We start from the raw sequence: 23,570 nt of genomic DNA, 5'->3' as shown, positions 1-23,570 counted from the left end.
TTGAATCAGTCTGTGGAAGCTGGAACAATATGATTAGGGCAGCAGAAATGAAGAATGCTTCTTTAGACCAATCACTATGTCCATGAGGCAGACTAAGGACTACGTGACCCTAATAAATTCTAATTTCTAGAGCTTCTTATCTGGATCCTGAAGCAGTTTCGGCCTTTATACTATGGGAGACTGAATACACTAACAGACAATGGTGGTTCCACACACAGAAAATCAACTCTGACCTCTGCAGCAACCAGTCTGCAGCGATCGGTCCAAATGCTCAGGAATTGGTGGGTAACTGCCAGCTTCCCTAAGTGTTTCCCTCCAGCTTCCAATTTAGAACCAACCAGAGAATGCTAATTATGCAGCTTCACCCATCAAATAGGATGTTTTGCTTCTAGTTATCCAACCTTTAGATTCCCCATGACAATAATTTCCAACCAGGGCATTCCTGTAGCCTTCTGGTTTTCCCACGATAAAGCTTTCTCACTGCCTGCCTGCCTTTGATTCATTGCCATATTGCAAGTGATGGTGGCCAACTCCCTGGCTACAGCAAGCTCTGACTGAATAACCTGTATTTCTTTTCATTTGAGCAGTCTTAGCTTATTTTTATAACTATTAAGGAAACGTTGCAGCAACCCTTACACTAAATGAACTTAATTATGCCAAACCTTTACTTACTACTTAAACAAATACTCTTCCAGACAATGTTACCAAACAGTGTCCCCTTTGTTGTGAAATCTTGTAGATACTGTTTAATTAGTAGAATCCTCTTACTTTCTTTTCCCTGTCAGTTTTACAGTATCCAACTGGTCCCGTGTATGATAGAAAACATTTCTATAAGGTAACACAGTATATTTCAACACACACTATTACTATTGATGAGATTACTTTGCTATTCACATCTCATAACATTAGCAAAAATGCACAAATCTTAAGCTGCCTTCTTTTTCCCCTCCAGGATGAAGGACAACCACATATTTAGCTGACAGTGATTCAAACTCTCATCTCGTCCAAAACTGACTTAAATGGCATAACTTTAATTAACTCTGATCTTAAATTATCTGTTGACAGTTTTCACCTAGAATAGAGAAAATTAACCTTGTTTTGGATATTCTCTTATCTCTGAAGACTCCATCTGCCTGGGTTGCTGAATCAATTTTTGTAACTGGAACTCACAATCCAGCCTGAGGCAAAAAGTGAAGAGCATATAAGAGAGAGAACATTTATGTAGATAGTAGACAAGCACTAGAAATTGTGCATGATTCTGGAATGAAGGGCTCTTAGGTTCATTTTCGACTCTTAGCTGCAAGTATAGAAATTACAAAGGAAGTTAATGTTTTATCTGACTCCTTAAGAAATTATAAGTTAATTTAAACATATCTACTCCAGTGAAATAGAAATGAAATCTAAAGTTAATTCTCAGGCATATTGCTTTGCAAGAAATGCTTCTCTTCATAGAAAGCTGCCCAAGTAAACAAAATACTCCCTTACTGTAAACATTTATTCCTCTTTATGAAAAGTTACTTGTAAAAGAATTTTAACTAGGTATTGAGATTTATTTGACAGTTCAGTGATAGCCACTTGGTGGCTCCTAAATCCGTACAAATAACATCAGCAATCACACTGTGTGGATCTACCTAAAATACTAAAGGTAACTCAGAATCAGTGTTACTAAGATATCGTGGATGAGTTTGTCTAGAGAAGAGCAAGCATGCCTTATCTGGAAATTCTGTAACCACCACAATGCTGATTAATCTGTAAAAGTGGGTCAAAACTTTCAACCACTATCACAGGCACTTTAACCCCCTATAAATGGACATTGTACAAATACCTTAGTCCCAAGGAAACCAATATGTCCTGGAGATTGTTTGTGAATGTCCCTGGTGGAGCAAAGCCTAAGTATAAAAATCTTTTTGGTGTGTTTTCCCCACCTGGGATCTCCTGTCAACGCTGTCAACTGAAGGAAGGGCTCATTTTACAAGGAAGTGTTTTTGATGATTTTGCATGGTTGTCCTTATCTCTAAAGCGTAATTATGCTTAGAATCTGAAAAGTATATAAAAGATAGAGATATTAAGTTGTTTGTTAAAAATAAGTAATCTGAATGTTCAGAATGACTTCATCTCCCTTGTTCTATAGTGCTTCTTTCAGTGTTACTAGCCATGTGATCCTCAGCTTTAAATCTTACAGGCTTTTTCTTGTGAAGTGGTAACTGTAAGAACCATGAACTTGGATCTAGTTACTACATTCGCCAATTCTTCATTTTGTGGTAGTTGTTGTTATTTTTCTTTATGAGACAGGGTCTTGCTCTGTTGCCCAGGCTGATGTACAGTGGCATGATCACGGCTCATTGCAGCCTTGAACTCCTGGGCTCAAGCAATCCTCCAACCTCAGCCTTCTGAGTAGATGGAACTACAGGCATGCACCACCATACCTCACCATTTTCTTTTTTTGTATATATACATTTTTTTTCGGTAGAGAATCAGTTCTTCATTATTAAGTTCATAAAATACCAGCCAGAGGCCAGGCGCAGTGGCTCACGCCTATAATCACAGCATTTTGGGAGGCTGAGGCAGATGGATCACTTGAGGCCAGGAGTTCAAGACCAACCTAGACAACATGGTAAAATCCTGTCTCTACTAAAAATACAAAAAAATTACAAAAAATTAGCCAGGCATGGTAGTGCCTGCCTGTAGTCCCAGCTACTTGGGTGGCTGGGGCATGAGAATTGCCTGAACCCAGAAGTCAGAGGTTGCAGTGAGCCGGGATCATGTCACTGCACTCCAGCCTGGATGATAGAGAGAGAAGCTCTCAAAAAAATAAAAATAAAAATACAGCCAGAGATCGATTTAACTGTTAACTATTGTTTGATGTAATTAGCTACATACCTATCATATAATTAAAATTCAGTATTGAGATGGTTGTCATAGGGACACTTCAAACCAGATTAAGTTTATTTTAAAAGTGAATTGAGAGATTTTACTTTACAAAAAAAAAAACCAATTTGGTTAGTTTGCCATTTAGGCTTCTAATTTTGATCTGAGGCCTGCTAACCCTGGAGAGTACACAAAGACTTTGTGAGGCGTACTGTGGCCAGGCAAAGACTTTTAAAGAACAGGTTTCCAGGTGTCACATTCGAATACTTCTTTCATCATTCTTGCTGTCCCTCTTTCATTTCTTCTTTTTCAAAAGAATTCTTCTCCGACAATGTTTCTTTTTTTAAAAGAGAAAAATATTTCTCCACTTTTTTTAACTTTACCTTGGTGCTTTGTCCCCAGGTGTTGAAATTTCCAGGATGCAAAACGAAGGGGCAATTCAAAACATTCATCTCCACTTCTCAAAAGTAAGTCACCTTGATGACTGGGTAACAAAATCTTGCTAATCATTTGTGTTTTTTGTTTTGTTTTGTTTTGTTTTAGATTTTTAATTACTTTTAAAAATTTGAAGAAATACCTAGTTGAATTGTCAATGGACACCTGCAATTTTTGTTGTCATTCTTCAAAGGAGTTCAAAGAATCAAATGTCATTGTTATAACAAAGCCCTTCCAATCCTATCCACTTATTTCTGAGAACAAGATTTCTCAGTTCTTAGATCTTATAAAAATAATGATATAGGAATAAGAATGATGTGGAACCTGCCACCTTCTAGCAATAAAAAAGATTCATTTATAAAAACATGAATTTATAGGCAAAACATTAGGAGGTAAATTTCAAAAAATGCTTTTGAAAATAATTGAATTTTAAAATCTGTCACGTTTATGTTTTAATTCAACTTTTAATAATGTAATTCAAAAGAACTGTAAAGCAACAAAAATTAAATATAAATTTACTTTTGTAATCCATATAATTAATAAATTATCTTTACGTACTAAAACAGTAAATTATACTGATAAACATTTTGTTTCGAAAGTAGAAATGAAATTCAAGTCAAGAAAACAAGATTTTTAAATGTAAAATTTCTGACCGTAAAAGAAGCACTTCTTCCTTCCTTTTCAAAATGAATAATATTGAATATAAATTAACTATAATTTCTAGATTTCTTTAGAAATATTTAAAAGTGTCATAGTAGTATTATTTTAAAATTTTAACATTTTTAATTTACTGGGAATTGCAACTACTTAAACCCATGATGAATATAATTTAGCTACCAAGATAAATATATGTAAATATATATATTAAAAATTACCTTAGTGATACAAGAGAAAAAAATGTTTGAAAATGACTTTTGAATCTATGGGAGTGGGGGAAGACTTTTCTGTATTACTAAAAGGTAGATACCCTTTCTGCCTTCCTGGTTGTTAGAGTAACTTTTCCTCAAGAAATCATGTATTTGCATATATTTTTGTCTAAATCCTTTATTTGTTCCATTAATATACATGTGACCCTTTTTTAAAACCGAAATGAGGTTATTGACAGAGTCATAACACAGCAATGTTTTGTTCTCAAGGTCCTCAGAGCCATCATTTTGAAATATTAACATCAAGAAAGATAGCACCCCCACTCATTTCCCTGTCATTGTTTGAGTTTAGCCAAGCTACCTTGATAGATATTTTATTTTTCCTCTGAATAAAGCAAATAAGTAGGTCAGATGGGTACTCTGATTACCACATACATTTAGGATGGAGTAAGAAAGAATGTATAGCAAATGGACTGTCGGGTCCTCTTACTAGGAGGACAAGTTGTCATTAATGTTGAGAATGTGCATGTAGTCCCCTCGAGGTGGATCACACCTATAAACTCAGCACTTTGGAAGGCCAAGGTTAGAGGATCGCTTGAGGCAAGGGGCTTGAGACTCATCTGGGTAAATTAGCAAGACTCAGGACTCAGTCTCCACAAAAAACAATTAAAAATAATTAGCTGGATATGGTGGCGCATACCTGTAGTCCCAGCTACTTAGGAGGCTTAGTCAGGATGATTGCTTGAGCCAAGGAGGTCAAGGCTGCAGTGAGCCAAGATCGTGCAACTGCATTCAAGCCTGGGCAACAGAATGAGACCCTGTCTCTATAAAAAGTGAAAAAGAGGCCGGGCGCGGTGGCTCACGCCTGTAAACCCAGCACTTTGCGGGGCTGAGAGGGGCGGATCACGAGGTCAGGAGATGGAGACCACCCTGGCCAACAAGGTGAAACCCCGTCTCTACTGAAAATACAAGAAAATTAGCCAGGCGTGGTGGGTGGTGCCTATAGTCCTAGCTACTCAGGAGGCTGAGGCAGGAGAATGGGTGAACCCGGGACAGGGAGCTTGTAGTGAGCCGAGATCACGCCACTGCACTCCAGCCTGGGCGACAGAGTGAGACTCCATTAAAGAAAAAAAAAAAAGTAAAAAAGAGAGAGCAAGAGAATGTGCAAGTAATTATTATATCTTCTTGGCTATATAGAAAGGTGAGGGTTCCTTCCTTCTGTCTTTGCAATCTCATTAGTGGATTGCCTGTCATGCACATCACACTTTGGTTAAATCCTTATTCAACAATAAAACTACAATAAAATGGAGATAATTTTTTTTTCCTTTTCGACATTTGAGAGAGGATTTTCTGACTTGGTAAGAGAGTTTATTCTTAATATTTCCCCCAATACCTATGGAATGTAGAGAGATCTTTGGGAATGAATGCAATAATGTACAGGAAGATTCAGAAGGAAGATAGGGAAATGACTGTCTCATTACAGCTAGCGGAAAGTCTTGATTTCTTTGAAACTTTTAAGAGAACACCCGGAAAGTGAAAGTTTGAAAAGGATACTTTTAGGCCTCCTAATCTCAGTCTCTGAATGTCTAAGAAATTAAAATCCTTCTTATGGAAGTAGAGACAAATAGTAATTTACATTGCTAAAGCCCTGGGATGTGGAGATCTTCCCACCACCATTATCCCAAATCTAGGTATGCTATCTGAGATGCAAATTAATATGAATGACACATAGGCAGTGCAGGATGCTTTGGGTTCATTGAAGGAAGTAATACATTATTACAAATTTAGATCATTTGGCAAGAATGACATTTTAACAAACATGTCTTTAGAAAAGCCACTTGGAATTTGGATAGAGCATACTGTTAGTAAATAAGAGACCTAGATGTTATCACAACCACTGGAGAGTTAAGAAAGAAAAAAACATCATTGAGGCCAATTTCTGTGGTTAATTGTCTAAATACTTCATAAAAAGGTTTTCAACAAATAAACTGAAGAGGAGTGAAGGTCAGATTCCTGAATAGCCAGAAGTTTGGTGAAAATATCCATATGCTTACACATAGATTAGACCAAGCATTGCAGAGAAGATGCATATCAGTATCCAACCAAATATCCTTCTATCACCTCATGTAAGGGATACTGAGATGAAAGGTTTTATTATTATTATTTTTGTAAACAGGGAGTGCACACTAGAGAAAAAATATGGCAGGATAATTGATTGAGTCAATAACCATGACTGTCATGACTGTCCCCAGCTCCAGTGAATGAGAGATGGTATTTGCCAAAGAATGAGAAGTGATATTACCTCCCCCTTCCAGAAGGATGGTCAGGGATTTGTGTCCTAGAAATGGGAGCCTAATTTTCCCTGCTAGGGGAAAACAAAAGGCTTTTGAAAGCAATCAGGATAATGCAGCTTTGGAGATAGCTTTGAGATGCATGTAGTCTTATAGGGCTAAAGGAGCAGAGAAGCTTGATATGGAGGATAAGGAGTTAAGTAGTCACAGAGGAGTGTGGGTCTTTTCTCACTACTCCACTTAGCACCCCAAAGGCTGCAAGATGTCCAGAAGATTTGCCTATAGAAACTTGCCAGTGGAGCTTTCAGGGGCCAGGCTTTGGGTGCTACAAAGAAATCTGACTGTGGTAATAACTGTGCATAGGCCTTGTATTCTGAACCTGTTTCCTTTTGAATAGCTCAGAAAGACTGTATGGTGGCCATCTTAGGGATGGTGGCAATAGTTTAGAAAGGCTTTCTCCATTTGTCTGAATTACAAAACTTCTGAAACTTTTTACAATATTAGGGAAGGAGAGCAGGCTTCAAAATAACAGATCTAATTTCTTCCAAAAATAATTCCGGTAGGGAGAGAACCACATTTAATTTTATTTAACATAATAAACAAATGTGACATTTTTGCATTAAGAAACTTCATAACTCTTAATAATAGAGTTGCTAGCTTTTCAGTAGCAAACTTGCTCAGTATTGATGGCTGCATATGCATCTACTTGGCCAATTTCAGTAATCGATAATTATGAAGCCTGGCAAATGATGAGAGCTCCTAACTGGAGATGAGGGGGAAAGAATCTGAGTGTCATCACTGTAGAGATCATCTTCGGGCATCTTTTTATGGGGGCCCTCCTCCTTCTTAAAAACCTCATTTTCTTTCTTAAGTGGTTAAATGGGCCGTGGTTTTATTTTCAAATGCCTTCTTGTCTGTAGTTCTATATTTGATATTTCTAAAAATTATCTCATTGACTAAGAATATTTGACAGCAGAAAGCTTTTCCTGTGTCTATTCTTATTTAATATAGCTGTCTGGAAGGATGAATTATTATTTTCAGGAAGTGAAAAATTGGATATGGATTTATACACTTATATATCACTACATTAATGTATGGAGAAAGCAAAGTGGCACAGTACAAAGAGTGTGGACTTTGGATATAAGCAGTATTAGAGTTTGATCCTGATTCTGTCACCTTCATTGAACCGTTTTCTTTAGATTATTTGACTAATTGCTATGTAACTAGAACGTTATAATTTTAAAATTACTATTAAATAGAGTACTTTATGAAGATTAGGTGGAATAATTTATGAATATATATATATTTTTGACAATAGGTTGTCAAAGTAATAGGAATTAATATTAAATGTAACAGTTTTAAAATGTTGATTATTTTACATTAATAATAAATTGATAGAAAATAAATTCTTCCAAATTATAAGAAATAACATAGTGGAATAGTTTCTGTGGGAATGGTACCAGCTCTTCTTTTTATATATGGTAGAATTTGGCTGTGAATCCATCAGGTCCCGGCCTTTTTTTGGTTGGTAGACTATTTATTACTGATTCCATTTTGGAGATCATTATTGATGTGTTCAGAGAATCAATTTCTTCCAGGCTCAGGCTTAAGAGGGTGCATGTTTCTAGAAATGTATCTGTCTTTTCTAGGTTTCCTAGTTTGTGTGCATAAAGGTGTTTGCAGCAGTTTCTGATGGTTGTTTTTATTTCTATAGGGTCAGCAGTAACATTCCCTTCGTCATTTCTAATTGTGTTTATTTGGATCATCTCTCTTTTCTTCTTTATTAGTTTAGCTAGTGGCCTGTTTTATAATTTTTTTCAAAAAACCAACTCTTGGATTCATTGATCTTTTGAATGGTTTTTCATTTCTCAATTTCCTTCAGTCCAACTCTGAGTTTTGTTATTTCTCATCTTCTGATAGCTTTGGGGTTGGTTTGTCCTTTCTTCTCCAATTCTTTCCGTTGTGAAGTTAGGTTGTTAATTTGAGATATTTCCAAATGTTTGATGGTGGCAGTGCTATGAATTTCCCTCATAAAACTGCCTTAGCAGTTTCCCAGAAATTCTGGTATGTTGTATCTTTGGTCTCCTTAGTTTCAAAGAACTTCTTGATTTCTGCTTTAATTTCATTATTTATCTAAACATCATTCAGAAGGATATTGTTTAATATCTATGTAATTGCATGGTTTTGAGCAATTTTCATAGTCTTGACTTACATTTTTATTGCTCTGTGGTTTGGGAGTATGTTTGGTATGATTTTGGTTCTTTCATATTTGTCAAAGATTGTTTTATGTCCAATTATGTGGTCAATTTTAGAGTATGGGAGTATGTTTGGTATGATTTTGGTTCTTTCATATTTGTCAAAGATTGTTTTATGTCCAATTATGTGGTCAATTTTAGAGTACATGTCATGTGATGACGAGAAGAATGTATATTCTGTTGTTTTGGGGTGGAGAATTCTGTAAAGGTCTATCAGATCCATTTGGTCCAATGTTGAGTTCAGGTCCTGAATATCTTTGTTAACTTTCTGCCTTGATGATCTGTCTAATGTTGTAAGTAGAGTGTTGAAGTCTCCCACTATTATTTTGTGGGAGTCTGTGTCCTTTGTAGGTCTCTAAGAACTTGCTTTATGAATCTGGGTGCTTCTTCCTTCCTTTCTTCCTTCCTTCCCTCCCTCCTTTTCTCTCAATACCCCTTCTTCCTTCTCATAAGGCTGTAATCAGTGCTTTCTTTGGCTGGCATAGGTGCTTATCTGGAGGCTCTGAGGAGAAATCTCCTAGGCTCATTCTGATTGTTGGAAACATTAAATTATTTCTCATGTGTTTTCCAGGTAGTCTCTTACGTCAAGATTGCCATACAAATCAAATATTTCTCATATTTCTGAGCTCTGACTTCCCTTTCTGCCTTGTTTCTCTGACTTGGGCACCTCTGCCTTCAGCTCTTTTGCTTTTAAGAGTTCATGTGATTATAGTGGGAATATCTGAATAGTTGAAGATAATTTTCCTATTTTAATGTCATCTGTAAAGTTTTTTTCTGTTTTGGTTGTTGTTGTTTGGTTGTTATTTGGCCATCCACAGGTTGAGCAAGAGTGGGTGAATGTGATAGGGGACAAAATTATGCCTATTGCAGCCGCTGAGACATTGTGTTTCATGCTTGAGTAATTCTTATCCATGCTGGACTAGCCCAACTCTCTGACCCAATCTCCCCCATACAAAAAAAAAAAAAAAAATACTCACCCTCTCACCCTGCCACCTACCACCACCAGGGGTAGGAACACTGTCAGTAGAGTCTTCATGCATGTCTTTTCCTTTGGTCCTACCTTCTTCCTTGGCGTTGGTGTACTGAAGAAAGGAATGCTTTTTTATATTCATCCTTACTCATTTTATCACAAAGATCACAGTTACCACCAGTAGTATATACTATATGCAGTGTACATTGAGAACAGCTGGCTTTGCAGAAGATGTCACAATCTAGTGAGACTATCTTTTGTGCAGTTGGGAAAAAAGCTAATGTTCACTATGTCAGAGCCTGTGCTGCATATTTATCAATAATCTGGCTATTAATTAGTAAATTAAGGATTCAAAATCAGGTTGACCTTGATAAAAATCAGGTCCTTCCTCTTGCATTTGATAACACAATTTTTATTAAATTATACTAAAATTGTGGGCAGTATCATGATTTCAGAAATTGCCATCATATGCGTATACTAGATTGTATCTAATGCTGTGTATTTGATGAAAGCTATGGCCTAGCAGATGTGAGATATAAAATAAAACAAACATGGATACTGAATAGATAAAACATTTATCAAGACCAACTCTTATAAAAATATTTATTTCATTTTTGTTTTCCATATTATAGTCATAGGTTAACTATCCAGTTGCTGATTTGTTTGATTTGTTTTATTCTATAGCACTTTGCATTCAATCGTTTGTAAGCAAGAATGCCTTATTACTATACAATGACGTCTTTGAAATTAGGAATTGGCCATTTTAAGTCGGGATTTCTACCTTGTAATTAGCACATTCATTGTGTTTATCTGAATGCCTGCAACTCATAAGGCATTTGTTCAACAACAAATATTTCTGAAAGTACAAATCATGTTTAGATCTCCATTAGATATCAAAATTTCTTGGATAAAAGTTATAATTTTTGCCTTCAAGGAACCCACACCCCTGTATTCAGACCCTCTTATAATGATTTATGAAGTACAAAGTGTGCGTGACAGTCATGAGAAATAAAACTACTGTGTTCTTTATGTCCGATGCCTGAGTGGTCTTTCTTATAGTGAGTTAGGTACTATAGCTTCCCAATGTAAGCCCTTTCAATGGCTTCTACCACTTACTGAAAACAATTATCCATGACCCTCATTCATTGATGCATTATTCATTCAGCAAGCATTCAAGCTCTGTTATGCCCCAAGAAATGTTCCTAATGATAAACACGGTTAATAAATTGTTTTAACTTTCCAGCTTATGGTACATGGGGCATAAATAGAAAGACAAGCAAATGTTTGAACAAGAAAATAAATAAATACACATACTTTGAAATATAATTGCATATAAATATTACAAACTCAATAAATATGTGTATATAGAAATTAATTTCTATATATTATACATACATAATAAATTAGTGCTAAGTACTCTGAAGAAAATTAAAAGTTGATAGGTAAGAAAGTTGGAAGAAGGAGTTGTTAGTTTGGCTACTCTGGACTGGAAAACAGGGAAGATCATTCTGAGAAAAGTATCCTTTAAGCTAAGATGTGATCCCAACATTCAAACTTCTAGTAGAATAAAGTTTCATATACATTACATGGTTCCATATAATGAAAGCAACATCCTTAGCAGAAAATGGGCTTATTTTCATGACAAGAATCGATGAACATTAAGTTTTCCTTAAAAGGCAGTGCCCACAGAGGGCAGTGGCCTGAGTTAAAGGCAAAAATATGTTTTTGTATTTGTTTATATATTCATTCCTCTGGAATGAGAAGTTCATGCAAGCAAGGATTTTGTCTTTTTCACTTACTGTTTCACACAGCTAGGACAGAGTAGAAACATGCATATTATAAAAACTAAGTAGACATTTGTTGACATAATAAATGAGTGGATTATAGTTTGGGGCAGTTAAATTTGCCAACACATTAGAAAAAATAGAAACAAAATATTAGTGTTGGCTATGTTTTCGGATAGTATTGAACACTTAGTCCCTAAGAGACAAAATTCCATCTCACCAAACTCTGCCTGAAAGTAAACATAAAAACTCAGTAGGCTGGGCACAGTGGCTAACGTCTGGAATCCCAGCACTTTAGGAGGCCAAGGCGGGCAGATCAGGAGGTCAGGAAATAGAGACCATCCTGGCCAACATGGTGAAACCCCGTCTCTACTAAAAATACAAAAATTAGCCGGGTGGGATGGTGCATTCAGGTAATCCCAGCTACTCAGGAGGCTGAGGCAGGAGAATGGTGTGAACCCGGGAGGCAGAGGTTGCAGTGAGCCAAGATCACGCCATTGCACTCCAGCCTGGACGACAGAGCGAGACTGCAGTCCTATTGAAATCATTAAGTTGTGGACAATTAAAAGAAAATGTAGTGTAATAACTAGATAAAGAATCAGAAAAGATGGGGGCCCATCTCCAATTCTCCTCTTCAGAAAAAGGGAAAAGATAGCTATAATATCTAAGAAATATCTAGTTGTTATTTCATGTAGCCCTGTTTTTAGCAATCAATAAATACTACCTTAGTCAGCATCAAACACACCTTTACCCAAATAAAACTCTAAATTGCTAATGACCAAAAAATTTCTAAATTTTACATTATTTTTAAAACTAGTAAATTGTAATTTAGGGATTGTTATTAAGGCAGAATCAGAAACACATGGGAAAGTAATTTACTTGAATCATGCAAGACCCAAGATTGCTGTTTTGGGAAATAAACACTTTTCTCGATGCCATTGAATAAAAATTTTAGAAAATAAATCATTAAAATTTTGTCTTGGGCCAGGTGAGGTGTCTCAAGCCTGTAATCCCAGAATTTTGGGAGGTGAATCCCTTCAGGCCAGGAGTTCAAGACCAGCTTGGCCAACATGGCAAAACCCTGTCTCTACTAAAAATTAAAAAAAAAAAAAAATAGCTGGGCATGGTGGTGAGCACGTGCAATGCCAGCGACCCAGGAGGCTGAGGCACAAGAATTGCTTGTACTCAGGATGCAGAGATTGCTGTGAGCCAACATAGTACCACCGCACTCCAGCCTAGGTGACAGAGTGAGACACTATTTCAAAAAAAAAAAATTGTGATATCAACTTTGAAATTTTTAATTATATGGATTAGATATTGAATTAAAATGTTTTAAAATTACTTTCAAAATTTAACTACATCTTATGTCTTAATTAGCATTAGAAATTAATTCTTATGAATGAGCCTTTTAATTTAATATTATCCATTGATGCATCTTATTTCTGTTATCCTGTTTCAGTTGTTACTTTTAGTCCGTCCAAGTAAACCTATAGGGACGTATATTGAAGGAAACGTAGTTTATTTCACTCAACCACTTTTTTTGTTGTTGTTGTTGTTTTTTTTTTTTTTTTTTTTGAGACAGAGTCTTGCTCTGTCACCCAGGCTGGAGTGCAGTGGCACGATCTCGGCTCACTGCAAGCTCCGCCTCCCGGGTTCACGCCATTCTCCTGCCTCAGCCTCCTGAGTAGCTGGGACTGCAGGCACCCGCCACCACGCCCAGCTAATTTTTCATATTTTTAGTAGAGACGGGGTTTCACCGTGTTAGCCAGGATGGTCTCGATCTCCTGACCTTGTGATCCGCCCGCCTCGGCCTCCCAAAGTGCTGGGATTACAGGCTTGAGCCACCGCACCCGACCTCAACCATTTTTTAAACACATTCTTTCTTACTTTTAGTTTCAACAAAAATAAAAGCGTAATATAATCTAGAATATCTTTTCTTATTTTACTTCACATTTATAATGTCTCTGGAAATTTGTAGTTTTATTTGTAGTCAAATGTTTTATTGTATTTGTCCAGATACACAGAGTCACATGGATGAAAGAACCCAAGAAATCAAATAGCATCTGGTGACATTCAACAGTCATAATTTAGTGCATTTTCAGAAGCTACCTAAGACTCAGATGTTCATATTGGATGTTATATTATATAAAATGAAATCTCAGCTGTTAGTCTTCTTCCTGAATACTAGGACAGATGGTCCCCAACTTATGATTTCTTGACTTTATGAGGGTATGAAAATGATAAGCATTCATTAGAAACCATACTTCAATACACTATTCAATAAATTACATGAGGTATTCAAATGTTAGATTATTTTGTCCAACTTTAGGCTAATGTAACTGTTCTGAGCATATTTATGGTAGGCTTGGTGAAGCTATGATATTCAGTAGATTAGGTGTATTAAATGCATTTTTGATTTCTGATATTTTTAATTTATGATGGGTTTATCAGCACGTTAACTTTGTTGTAAGTTAAGGAGCATCCGTATTAGGATGCAGACAATGATGGAGGTAATTACCCAAATGGATATTTACAGAAGCTTTAATTTGTGTCAAATTCCCTTTCAATAGTTTAGACAATTATAACCTGCTTAAGAACATACAGTCTGAATAAAAAGAGGTTTATATTTACATGATTTTATTTTAATGAAATGAATGAGTAAATAAATGCCATACCTGAAAATAATATGATAAATGTCAAACGTGAAAAGAGAATTAGTAGCTACTTTTTTCACAATTTGAAAGTGCAAACATTTTTCCAAATGTCATGCTCCTACACACAGGAAAATGAAAAACAGATTAACTTTTTAAAATTCCTGATATTTTAAAGCACCTATATTTAGTCAATAATAAATACATGGATTGATTATTTCTGAAGGTGTATTTCCAAAATGTATTCAGAGTCACAATACCTCAGAGATTTAATTTGACATGTATTTATATGGGTCCTTATAAAATTTAATTTAATGAAGAGTCTAAAGTAAATTTTAAACCTCTGATTATCATTCATAGTGATTGTTATTTCTAATGATAATTGCATGCATTATCATTAGAAAATCTGTTATATTCATGTAAACAGATAACTCAAAACTTTAAAATATTTGGTTAAATGAGACCTCAAAACAATGCTTTGAAGTAGACAGGGACAACATGCTTCAAATTAGTCAACCTGGAAAAAAAAAAAAAAGCCAGGAGTAGAAGTAAAATTCTAATCCAATATTCTTTCTGTTATTTTTTAAGTGTTTAATTGCTTGATTCATTTCTGAGGACAAGTTAGTTAGATGTTCTCTTGGGCTTCAAGGGAATACATATAGCTGATTTACACATGAACATCTATAGAAATTGTTCTATAACCAAAAAACATGCAAATTACCCAGAATTTGCTAAGTGTGTATTTCCTTTCAGTCTTGTTTCCTCTCACCTTGGTTTGTTGGAAAATGCTATGATCCAAATGTCCATGTCTTCCCAAATTTCATATTTCAAATTTCTAATCCCCAAGGTAATGGTATTAGGAGACAGGGCCTTTGGAAGGTAATTTGTTCATGGGATTGGGTCCTGGGATTAGTGTCCTCATTCAAAAGGTGCAAGGGAACAGAACTTGCCTATTCCATCATATGGCAAAATAGCAGAAAGGTGCCATCTGTGAACCAGGAAATAGATCCTTACCAGACATCAAATCTGCTGGTGCCTTGATATTGGATTTGGTGCCTACAGAACTGTGAGAAGTAAATTCCTGTGTTTATAAGCTATCCAGGTGATGGTATTTTTATTACACGCTCTAAGACCACAACTTGGACAACAATTTCAGCAAAATTACAGCTGAAATATAAATAAAAAATTTGTAAAGTTGGAATAAATAAGTACATTTTGATATTTTTTAAGAAAATTATAGAGAAGAAAAAAAAGTGGGCTGTATCAAAAGGGCACTTTCTAGAATGGGCATGGTACACATATATAAAGAATGAATAGTAGTTTTTTTCAAAAGGGGGAAGGAAATGCAAAAGAGGAAAATAAAAAACACTGGGTCAGTTTTTATGACAGAATTTGTAGAATGTCATAGATTTAAGGAAAAAGAAAATCGGAGTTATAATTAGAGTAGAGAAAAAAATCAGATGAATCTCCAAGCCAGTATTAAACTGGTAGACTCACCAGGGTATGAGCTTAAGTGTAGTCACCACTTGGAGAGGATTGAATAAAAAATAAAATTAAATAAATAAATACATCAAATCTGGACATTTGATTAAGGCATTTACATTTATGTCAACAGGGGATGCTTTCTTAGAGGGCTCAAGGCAGAAAAGAGCATGAAATAATATAAATTTAGTAATAAGGATATAAGTGCCATAGATGATGTGGTAGGAAGAACAATGGCCCCCCAAAGGTGTCGGTATCATAGTCCCAGGAACCTCTGAATATGATAGGTTACACTGCAAAGAGGAGTAAGGTGAAAGTTTGCTGATCAGCTAACTTTGAGATGGGAAGATTATCCTGGATTTTCTGGGTGGACTCAATGTAATCATAAGCCTCCTTCTAAGTGGGAAAAGGAGAGAAACAGAAATAGGCAGAGAGGGATTTGGAGATGTTGCTCTGCTGGTTTTGAAGACAGGAAGGTGCAATAAGCCAAGGACTTCAGGCAGCCTCTAATAGCTGGAAAACATAAGAAAACAGATTTTCCTACAGGCACAGAGAGAATTCAGTCTTGCATACACCCTGATTTTTAGCTTAGAAAGATGCATTTGAGCTTCTGAATGCCAAAACTGGAAGACAGTAAATTTGTATTGCTTTTTGGCACAAATGTTGTGGTAGTTTCTTAAAACGGTTAATATTAGAACTATGAGAAATTTGAGTACCAAGAGTATATTTATTATTTTCTCTCCTGTTATGTGAAAAACCTTATGAAGTAAATAAGTTCTACTTGATTGATTATAATTGTATCTCCATCATCAAAACACTGTATTAGTTTTCTATTGCAAGAAACTGGCTTACATGATTGTGAGGAATGATGAGTCAAGAATTTTTAGTGCAGGCCTTCAGGAAGGATAGACTGGAATGCTTAGGCATGAGTTGAAGCTGATGTCTACAGATTATATTTCTTCTTAATTAGGAAAGCCTCACATCTGCTGTTAAGGTCTTTCAACTGATTGAAACAAGACCTCTGGTAGCTAGGACAATTTTTTCTCATTTAAAGTCAGTTGATTATATACTTCAATCGTATCCAAAAATAATGTTCACAGAAGTAACTAAATTCGTGTTTGGTTGAACAACTGGAGACTGTAGCTGAGCCATGTTAACATATCAAAGGAGCATACCTGTGGTGTAGCAAGATTTTGAATTTAAGGGAATGAAGTTGATAAAAATAAAATTAAATGAGCACAGAGGTGAATGTAATTAGCTATTAATTAAAACAGCAAATAATGTTTCCATCTTGGCTTTACAATGTAGAATGTAAGGGATGTACCCACTGAAGGAACAGTGTGTGCAAAGAGAAGTGTGTGCATAGACTTGTGGCGACAAAGAAGCTAACGCTCACAATTTATAAACTTAAATTTTCCTTCTCTAAAAACTGTGTTGAAAGAAGCCAAATGTGAGGGTGCCACATGAAAACATCAGAGTCTAAGTATTTATTTTTTATATGTGTAAACCATGGACCATTTCCAAAAACTTATTTCAGTGTACTCAAATGATCCTTAGATTGGAAAGATGAAACTTCATGACCTGAGAGGAGAGAAGTCATAATAGTCATAAACTGACAAGTTTCAGAAAGACTATTTAAAGGGACATTGAAAACCGATACTTGAAGATCATAGATTTTAAGCAGAAAAAAACCATACGATGCATAAAAGCCTTATAAATTTTTCCTGAGGATTAAACACTGAAGATCTATTTAAGGATTAAACACTGAAGATCTATGTTTGCGGTAGTAAAACAAAAAGGATCTTTTTGCTGCCTGAGATGTAAAAGTTTAAAATATGTAGCATGTGTTTCTGCTGATTAGAGACTGATTTCCTATTCAGAACCCTTGAATCTCAGCAATGATCAATCTTGGTGCATCCTAGAGTGTTTGGGGGATGATAAATAAGGTCCAGTTTTTCTTTCTGGTCACTACTCTCATCATTACCCCAAATAATAAAGAAACATCTAGTGCAAATTAAAAAGAAACATCTGGTGAAAATGTCTAGTGAAAACAAGTAGACTAAGTCCTTCTTTTGTTTTTTTAATTTTTTTTATTTTTTTGAGACGGAGTCTCGCTCTCGTCGCCCAGGTTGGAGTGCAGTGGTGCGATCTCGGCTCACTGCAACCTCCGCCTCCCTGGTTCAAGGGATTCTCCTGCCTCAGCCTTCCAAGTAGCTGGGATTACAGGCACATGCCACCACTCCCAACTGATTTTTGTATTTTTAGTAGAGACAGGGTTTCCCCATGTTGGCCAGGCTGGTCCCAAACTCCTGACCTCAGGTGATCCACCTGCCTCAGCCTCCCAAAGTGCTGAGATTACAGGGGTGAGCCACTGTCCCCAGCCTTTAAGTCCTTATTTTCATTATCATAACTTGACAGAGGGCTCTGGGAATGAAAGCAATGTGTAGATGGCTGGACCTAAGAAAGATGAGGAGAAAGTAGTAAGACAAATGGATGTGGAGGCACATTCTTATATGATGGTTTTCTCCATGGCCTTAAATAATACTGAGGATTGATAATAAGGTGAAGGGTGTAAGCTGATGGCTTCTCACAGATAATCACTTCACTAAACATTGCCGCAATATTCTTTATATTGCTTTTGATATAACCAAACATGCCCTCATATGATAATTATCAACTTAGGTTTTAGACTTCTTGTGTGTTTTTGGTGATGCTTGATGTGAAAGGGAAAAAAATTAGAAATGATAGCCATTAGAGAAAGGTAATGCTGAATTAATCATATTGCGGGTGGTTTATGTGGTTGTTGACATTTTACCAATTTATGCATTTTCATCTGATGATATAATAAATTGTATAGATCTAGACGATGATGACTTTAGGCATGTTTAAAATTTAGTTTATGAAAATAGATGGAGTTTAAGATAAATGTGTAGTCTCTAGAAGCAGAATATTTAAATGACTATTATAGTAATGTAGCCCATAATATAAATTATATCATTTTGTTCAAGATAGCTAACATAGCTAGACCAGTTCCATTCCACAAAGAAGGCAAATAAATCCTTCTGATAGCCACAATGAGAATTTACTGGGTGATATTTGGGTTTGAAGATCATATAGTAATCTTCTGTATCTTCAAGATTCAGCATAATAAATAGTTGTCTGATTGTTGATGAATCTAAATCAAAAACATTAAATTACAAGATGATGTTTGTTTTGTTGAAAACTGTTTTTATAAAAGTAGGCTTGACCTAAGTCAGAATCAGCACTCTTGAGAAAAAAATGCAGGGATGGAGATGGCTTTTCTTGAGGTAAGTTGCAGTATGATGTCACCTGGAAAAGGCTATGAATTATTTATTTTGATTATGTAGTTCTGTCTTGTATCTGGATGGGAATTGGTAAAAAAGAAAATAAAAAAAAGAGAAAACACATATTTATATGTTGTAGTTATTGTATTATACTACAATGTTTCTCATTTTTCTTTTTTTTTTCTTTAAAAGAACATTGGGGCCACTTACAGAAAGTATATGTCCTTGTGAAACCTCATCAAATGTCTGGTCAGATGCAGACCTGATGTTAAACTACGAAATTTCAAAATCTCTAAAGTCTTATCCAAAGAAGATTTGGGATATGCCCCTTAATAATATAGGGTGAGATTATTTAAACTTATCTATATGGCTTCTCCAATTTCAACTCTTTTGGGAGTCCAACTGAACTCCCTTCTTTTGGGGGTTTGATTTATGCTAATCTCAGGTTAACAAGGTTGGGAGAAAGGCAGAAATTTTGTGAATAAAACAAATGTCGTAGAAAGAACCAATTTTTTACAGGAAAAAAAAACCCATGGGAAATATGTGGTCAATCTTCAAAGCAAAGCGTTTAGTTTTCTCATATACTTCTTCTATGACAGTCTGTTGAGGACTGTTTTCCATCTCATCTAGTCCATGCTCTGGATGGTAACCTTATCTTCATCCTCATGTACAATAGACCTGCTGAAATCTGAACAAGATAACTAAAAGCCTAGTATGATGATTGTGAAGAAATTAAGGGGAAGGAACTATAGTTTAAAAGGCTACTGGGATTTGGAAAAGGAGAAAAATGTAAATCATTCAAAGAGGGTGATCTCTTCTAATCAGGTGTGAAATATTTATACAATAGTAGCTGTTAGAGTTGTGTGCCTCAGGATGAATTTGGGCATGAGATAAGAAAGTCATAGGTCACCTATAATTACTTGACTCTTGTGGATTCTGGGTGTTTAGGAATGTATGACTTAATTGTGAAGAAAAAGACTATTATTATTATCACTTGGATAAAGACAGGATAGATTTTAAATTCTAACTCTGGCGTATGTTTGGTTTGTGATTCTCAAAATAGCACAAGTCTTCAACCTAGCTCTCCAAGCTAATATTTTCATCTTTATCACAAAGGTTATAATTCTTTCCCAAATGACTACTTTAATTAATTTAAGATTGTTTCTAAATAGAATTTGTCATTTAGAACATAAGGGAAAATTCATTTACACCAATGAGGAACTAGATATCTGATTTAACTGGTTTTAGTAAAGTATAAAAGTGAAGCAGTCTAGTTAAAATATGTAGAGATCCTATCAATTATTTTTATAGGTTTAATTGATATGTGCACTTTTAAATCCTTTACTTGAAGTGACTTCGACTCATGTGCTTCCAAAATTGGTCAGGGTTTAAGGGAGTATTACTAACAGAACACTTCATCTGCAAATTCTCAGCTGTAGTCCTGCGGTGGGAATTGAGGTGTAGGGTGAGAAGAGACTAGTTTTTCAGGGCACTTGCAAATGTTCCTACTTTATAATCATCAAGAACTTAATAATCTTTATTCCCTCTCTGCATTCATTTTTAAATGGTACCAAAAAAATCACCTCAAACAAGTAAACAGCATCCGAAAACCTAGCTTAGGTCCAGCAATAGAAAGTGGCATTCGAACAGTGGTGCCAGCTAATTTCACCTTTCATCTGAAGACTGAATACTACAAGCCCTGTTTCCAGCCCCTGTGGCAGATGGTCAGCAGTGGAGAAACTGTCCCAGTCAGCATATCTCCATCTTTAAATCCCCACATTCAAGTCACAGATGGCAGTGGGAATGCCACCTGGAGCATCCAAGCTCTGAAAACAGACCTCAGTCGACCTGAGACATGCTATTAAAAATATGCCTGCCTTGTTTATAAAAGCCAAACCAAAGCCTTGCCTGGGATCATCAGAACACTAAACAAAAAGTAGTGTCAAGTTTTAAACTGTACATTTGTAGAGTGAAGAATTATATGCATATGGTAAATTTAAATTTCTACTCCAACATACATAAAAATCACCATGAATATGAGAAAAAATAAGCAAAATTTTATTTATTTACTTTATTTATTTATTTATTGAAATGGAGTCTCACTCTGTCTCCCTGGCAGGCGTGCAATGGTGTGGTCTTGGCTCACTGCAACCTCTGCCTCCTGGGCTCAAGCAATTCTCCTGCCTCAGCCTCCTGAGTAGCTGGGACTACAGGCGCATGCCACCACACCCAGCTAATTTTTGTATTTTTAGTAGAAACAGGGTTTCGCCATGTTGGCCAGGCTGATTTCAAATTCCTCACCTTGTGATCTGCCTGCCTTGGCCTCCCAAAGTGCTGGGATTACAGGTGTGAGCCACCATGCCCAGCCAAAGTAAGCAAATTTTTAAATATCTTCTCTTTCTCTTGGAATTTACTAGCTCAAATTTTTACAGGCATAGGGAAATAAAAATTGTATCATACTACTCTCCTCCAAAATGTCTATTATTATTGTAATTATTATTAATGGGAGGTCACGCAGGATGGAACTGTCCTGCAAGCATGTTTTATTTGGTTTTCCAACAATGGTTAGAATTGGGTACCAGTATTTAAAAGTCAGGAAATATCCTCCTAAAAAATCCATTTCTGGTAACTGTGTCAAATTCCACACTAATCAGCCAGTTGGCTGGCCTGACCCCAGTGGAGATGCCTTCCCTAATTTGCCATGGTGCCAGACCTTTCCTGTTTTATTACACCTGGGCTGCCTCACTTATAAATGGCACTCAGCTGAGCTCTAGTTCAGTACATTTGAAACACAGGGTTCTCAAACTTTAAGGTGTATCTTAAGGTGTGATCACCTAGATGGCTGGCTGAAACAGATTCCTTCCCCCATCCCCAATTGCTGAGTCAGTATTGCCTTGAAGCTCACAAATTTGCATTTCTAAAAAGTTTCCAGTTGACGCTGATGCTGCTTCTCTAGACACCACACTTGGTGAGCTAATACTTTAAAATTGAATTTCATATACTATAAAAAGTTTTTAGCCCAATATCACATTTTATGGAGCATAGGAGAAGAGAGAGTTCCCTCAAGTACCTTTATCTTCATTAGTGAGTATATCTATTTGCTAGGGCTGCCATAACAAACCACCACAGACTGGGTGGCTTTAACAGCAGAAATTTATTTTCATCCCAGTTCTGGAGGCTGGAAGTCAGAGATGAGAGTTTGGTAGGGTTGGGCTCTTTTGAAATCTCTCTTCTTGGCTTGAAGATGGCCACTTTCTTGCTGCCTCTTCACGTGCTCATCCCTGGGTTCAGGCCCTCTCAGTGTTTCTTCCTCTTGTTATAAAGGATGCCAGTAATCTTGGATTAAGCTTTTACCCTAGGGGCCTTATTTTAACAGAATCACCCTTTAAGGACCTTGTCTGCAAATATGGCTGCATTCTGAGGTACTGTGGGGTGGGACTTCAACATATGCATTTTGGGAGGATACAGTTTATCCCGTAATGTTGAGGTGAAACGATTAATAGGAAGTAGAAGTGTAAAATAAAACTATAGCTGTTTTTTTTTTGGAGGGGGAGTTATTAACAAACATTTATTAAAATTTGATTCTGTTTTAGTTAATCACATATTGAACATTTCTAAAAATTAAAGGTCTTTGAAATATCAAATGAGCAGAAGCCCTCAGGTTCCCCATAATTCCTTGTATCCTTTTTCTTAAGAAACTACATTATTATATTTAAGAAATGAAAGGTTTTAAACTCACTACTTGTTAATTTGAAGTCTACATTTGTTGTTTTCTATTTACACAATAATGTTTTTATTGTTTTTTAAATTTTTATTTTATTGACAAATAATACTTGTATATATTTATGGGTTACAATGTGATGTTATCATATAGGTATAAAAATGAAATACTTGGCCGGGTGCAGTGGCTCACACCTGTAATCCCAGCACTTTGGGAGGCTGAGGTGGGTGGATCACTGAGGTCAGGAGTTCAAGACCAGCCTGGCCAATGTGATGAAATCCCATCTGTACTAAAAAAAAAAATTGGGGAAAACCACCCCCGATATTTCAATGTAGGTTCTTTTCTATTTTCCCTAAGTGTTGGCTGGTCTAAGAAATAAAGGGAAAGAGTACAAAAGAGAGAGATTTTAAAGCTGGGTGTCTGGGGGAGACAGCACATGTTGGCAGGTTCTGTGATGCTCCTGAGCCATAAAACCAGCAAGTTTTTATTAGCAATTTTCAAAGGGGAGGGAGTGTACGAATAGGGTGTCAGTCACAGAGATCACATGCTTCAAGGGCAACAAAAGATCACAAGGCAGAAGGTCAGGGAGAGATCACAATGTCAGGGTGAAACTAGAGTTACTAATAAACTTCCATGTCCCGCTGTGCACGCATTGCCATTGGTAAACATCTTTACAGGGTTCAAGAGCAGAGAACCGGTCTGACTAGAATTTGCCAGGCTGGAATTTCTGAATCCTAGCAAGCTTGGGGGTGCTGCAGGAGACTAGGGTGTGTTTCATTCCTATCTACAACTGCATAAGGCAGACACTCGCAGAGCGGCCATTTTAGAGGCTCCCCCTGGAAATGCATTCTTTTCCCAGGGCTGTTAATTATTAATATTCCTTACTGGGGAAATAATTCCGTGGTATTTCTCTTACCCGTTTTTGGTAATAAGAGAAATATG

At 36.2% G+C, this 23,570-nt stretch overlaps 1 long non-coding RNA gene across 1 annotated transcript in view; it reads left to right on the top strand.

Annotated features, from left to right (window-relative positions):
• LOC124900950 (uncharacterized) overlaps positions 1-23,570 on the top strand; it is a 153,441-nt gene that overhangs the window by 66,627 nt on the left and 63,244 nt on the right. Inside the window, exon 3 of the long non-coding RNA XR_007058710.1 lies at positions 3,271-3,335. This is a non-coding gene — a long non-coding RNA (uncharacterized LOC124900950). The remainder of the gene's footprint in view (positions 1-3,270; positions 3,336-23,570) is intronic.

The sequence above is a fragment of the Homo sapiens genome, chromosome 5, assembly GCF_000001405.40.
Source record: "Homo sapiens chromosome 5, GRCh38.p14 Primary Assembly".
Classification (NCBI taxonomy): domain Eukaryota; kingdom Metazoa; phylum Chordata; class Mammalia; order Primates; family Hominidae; genus Homo; species Homo sapiens.
This window is presented reverse-complemented; position numbering and strand designations above follow the sequence as displayed.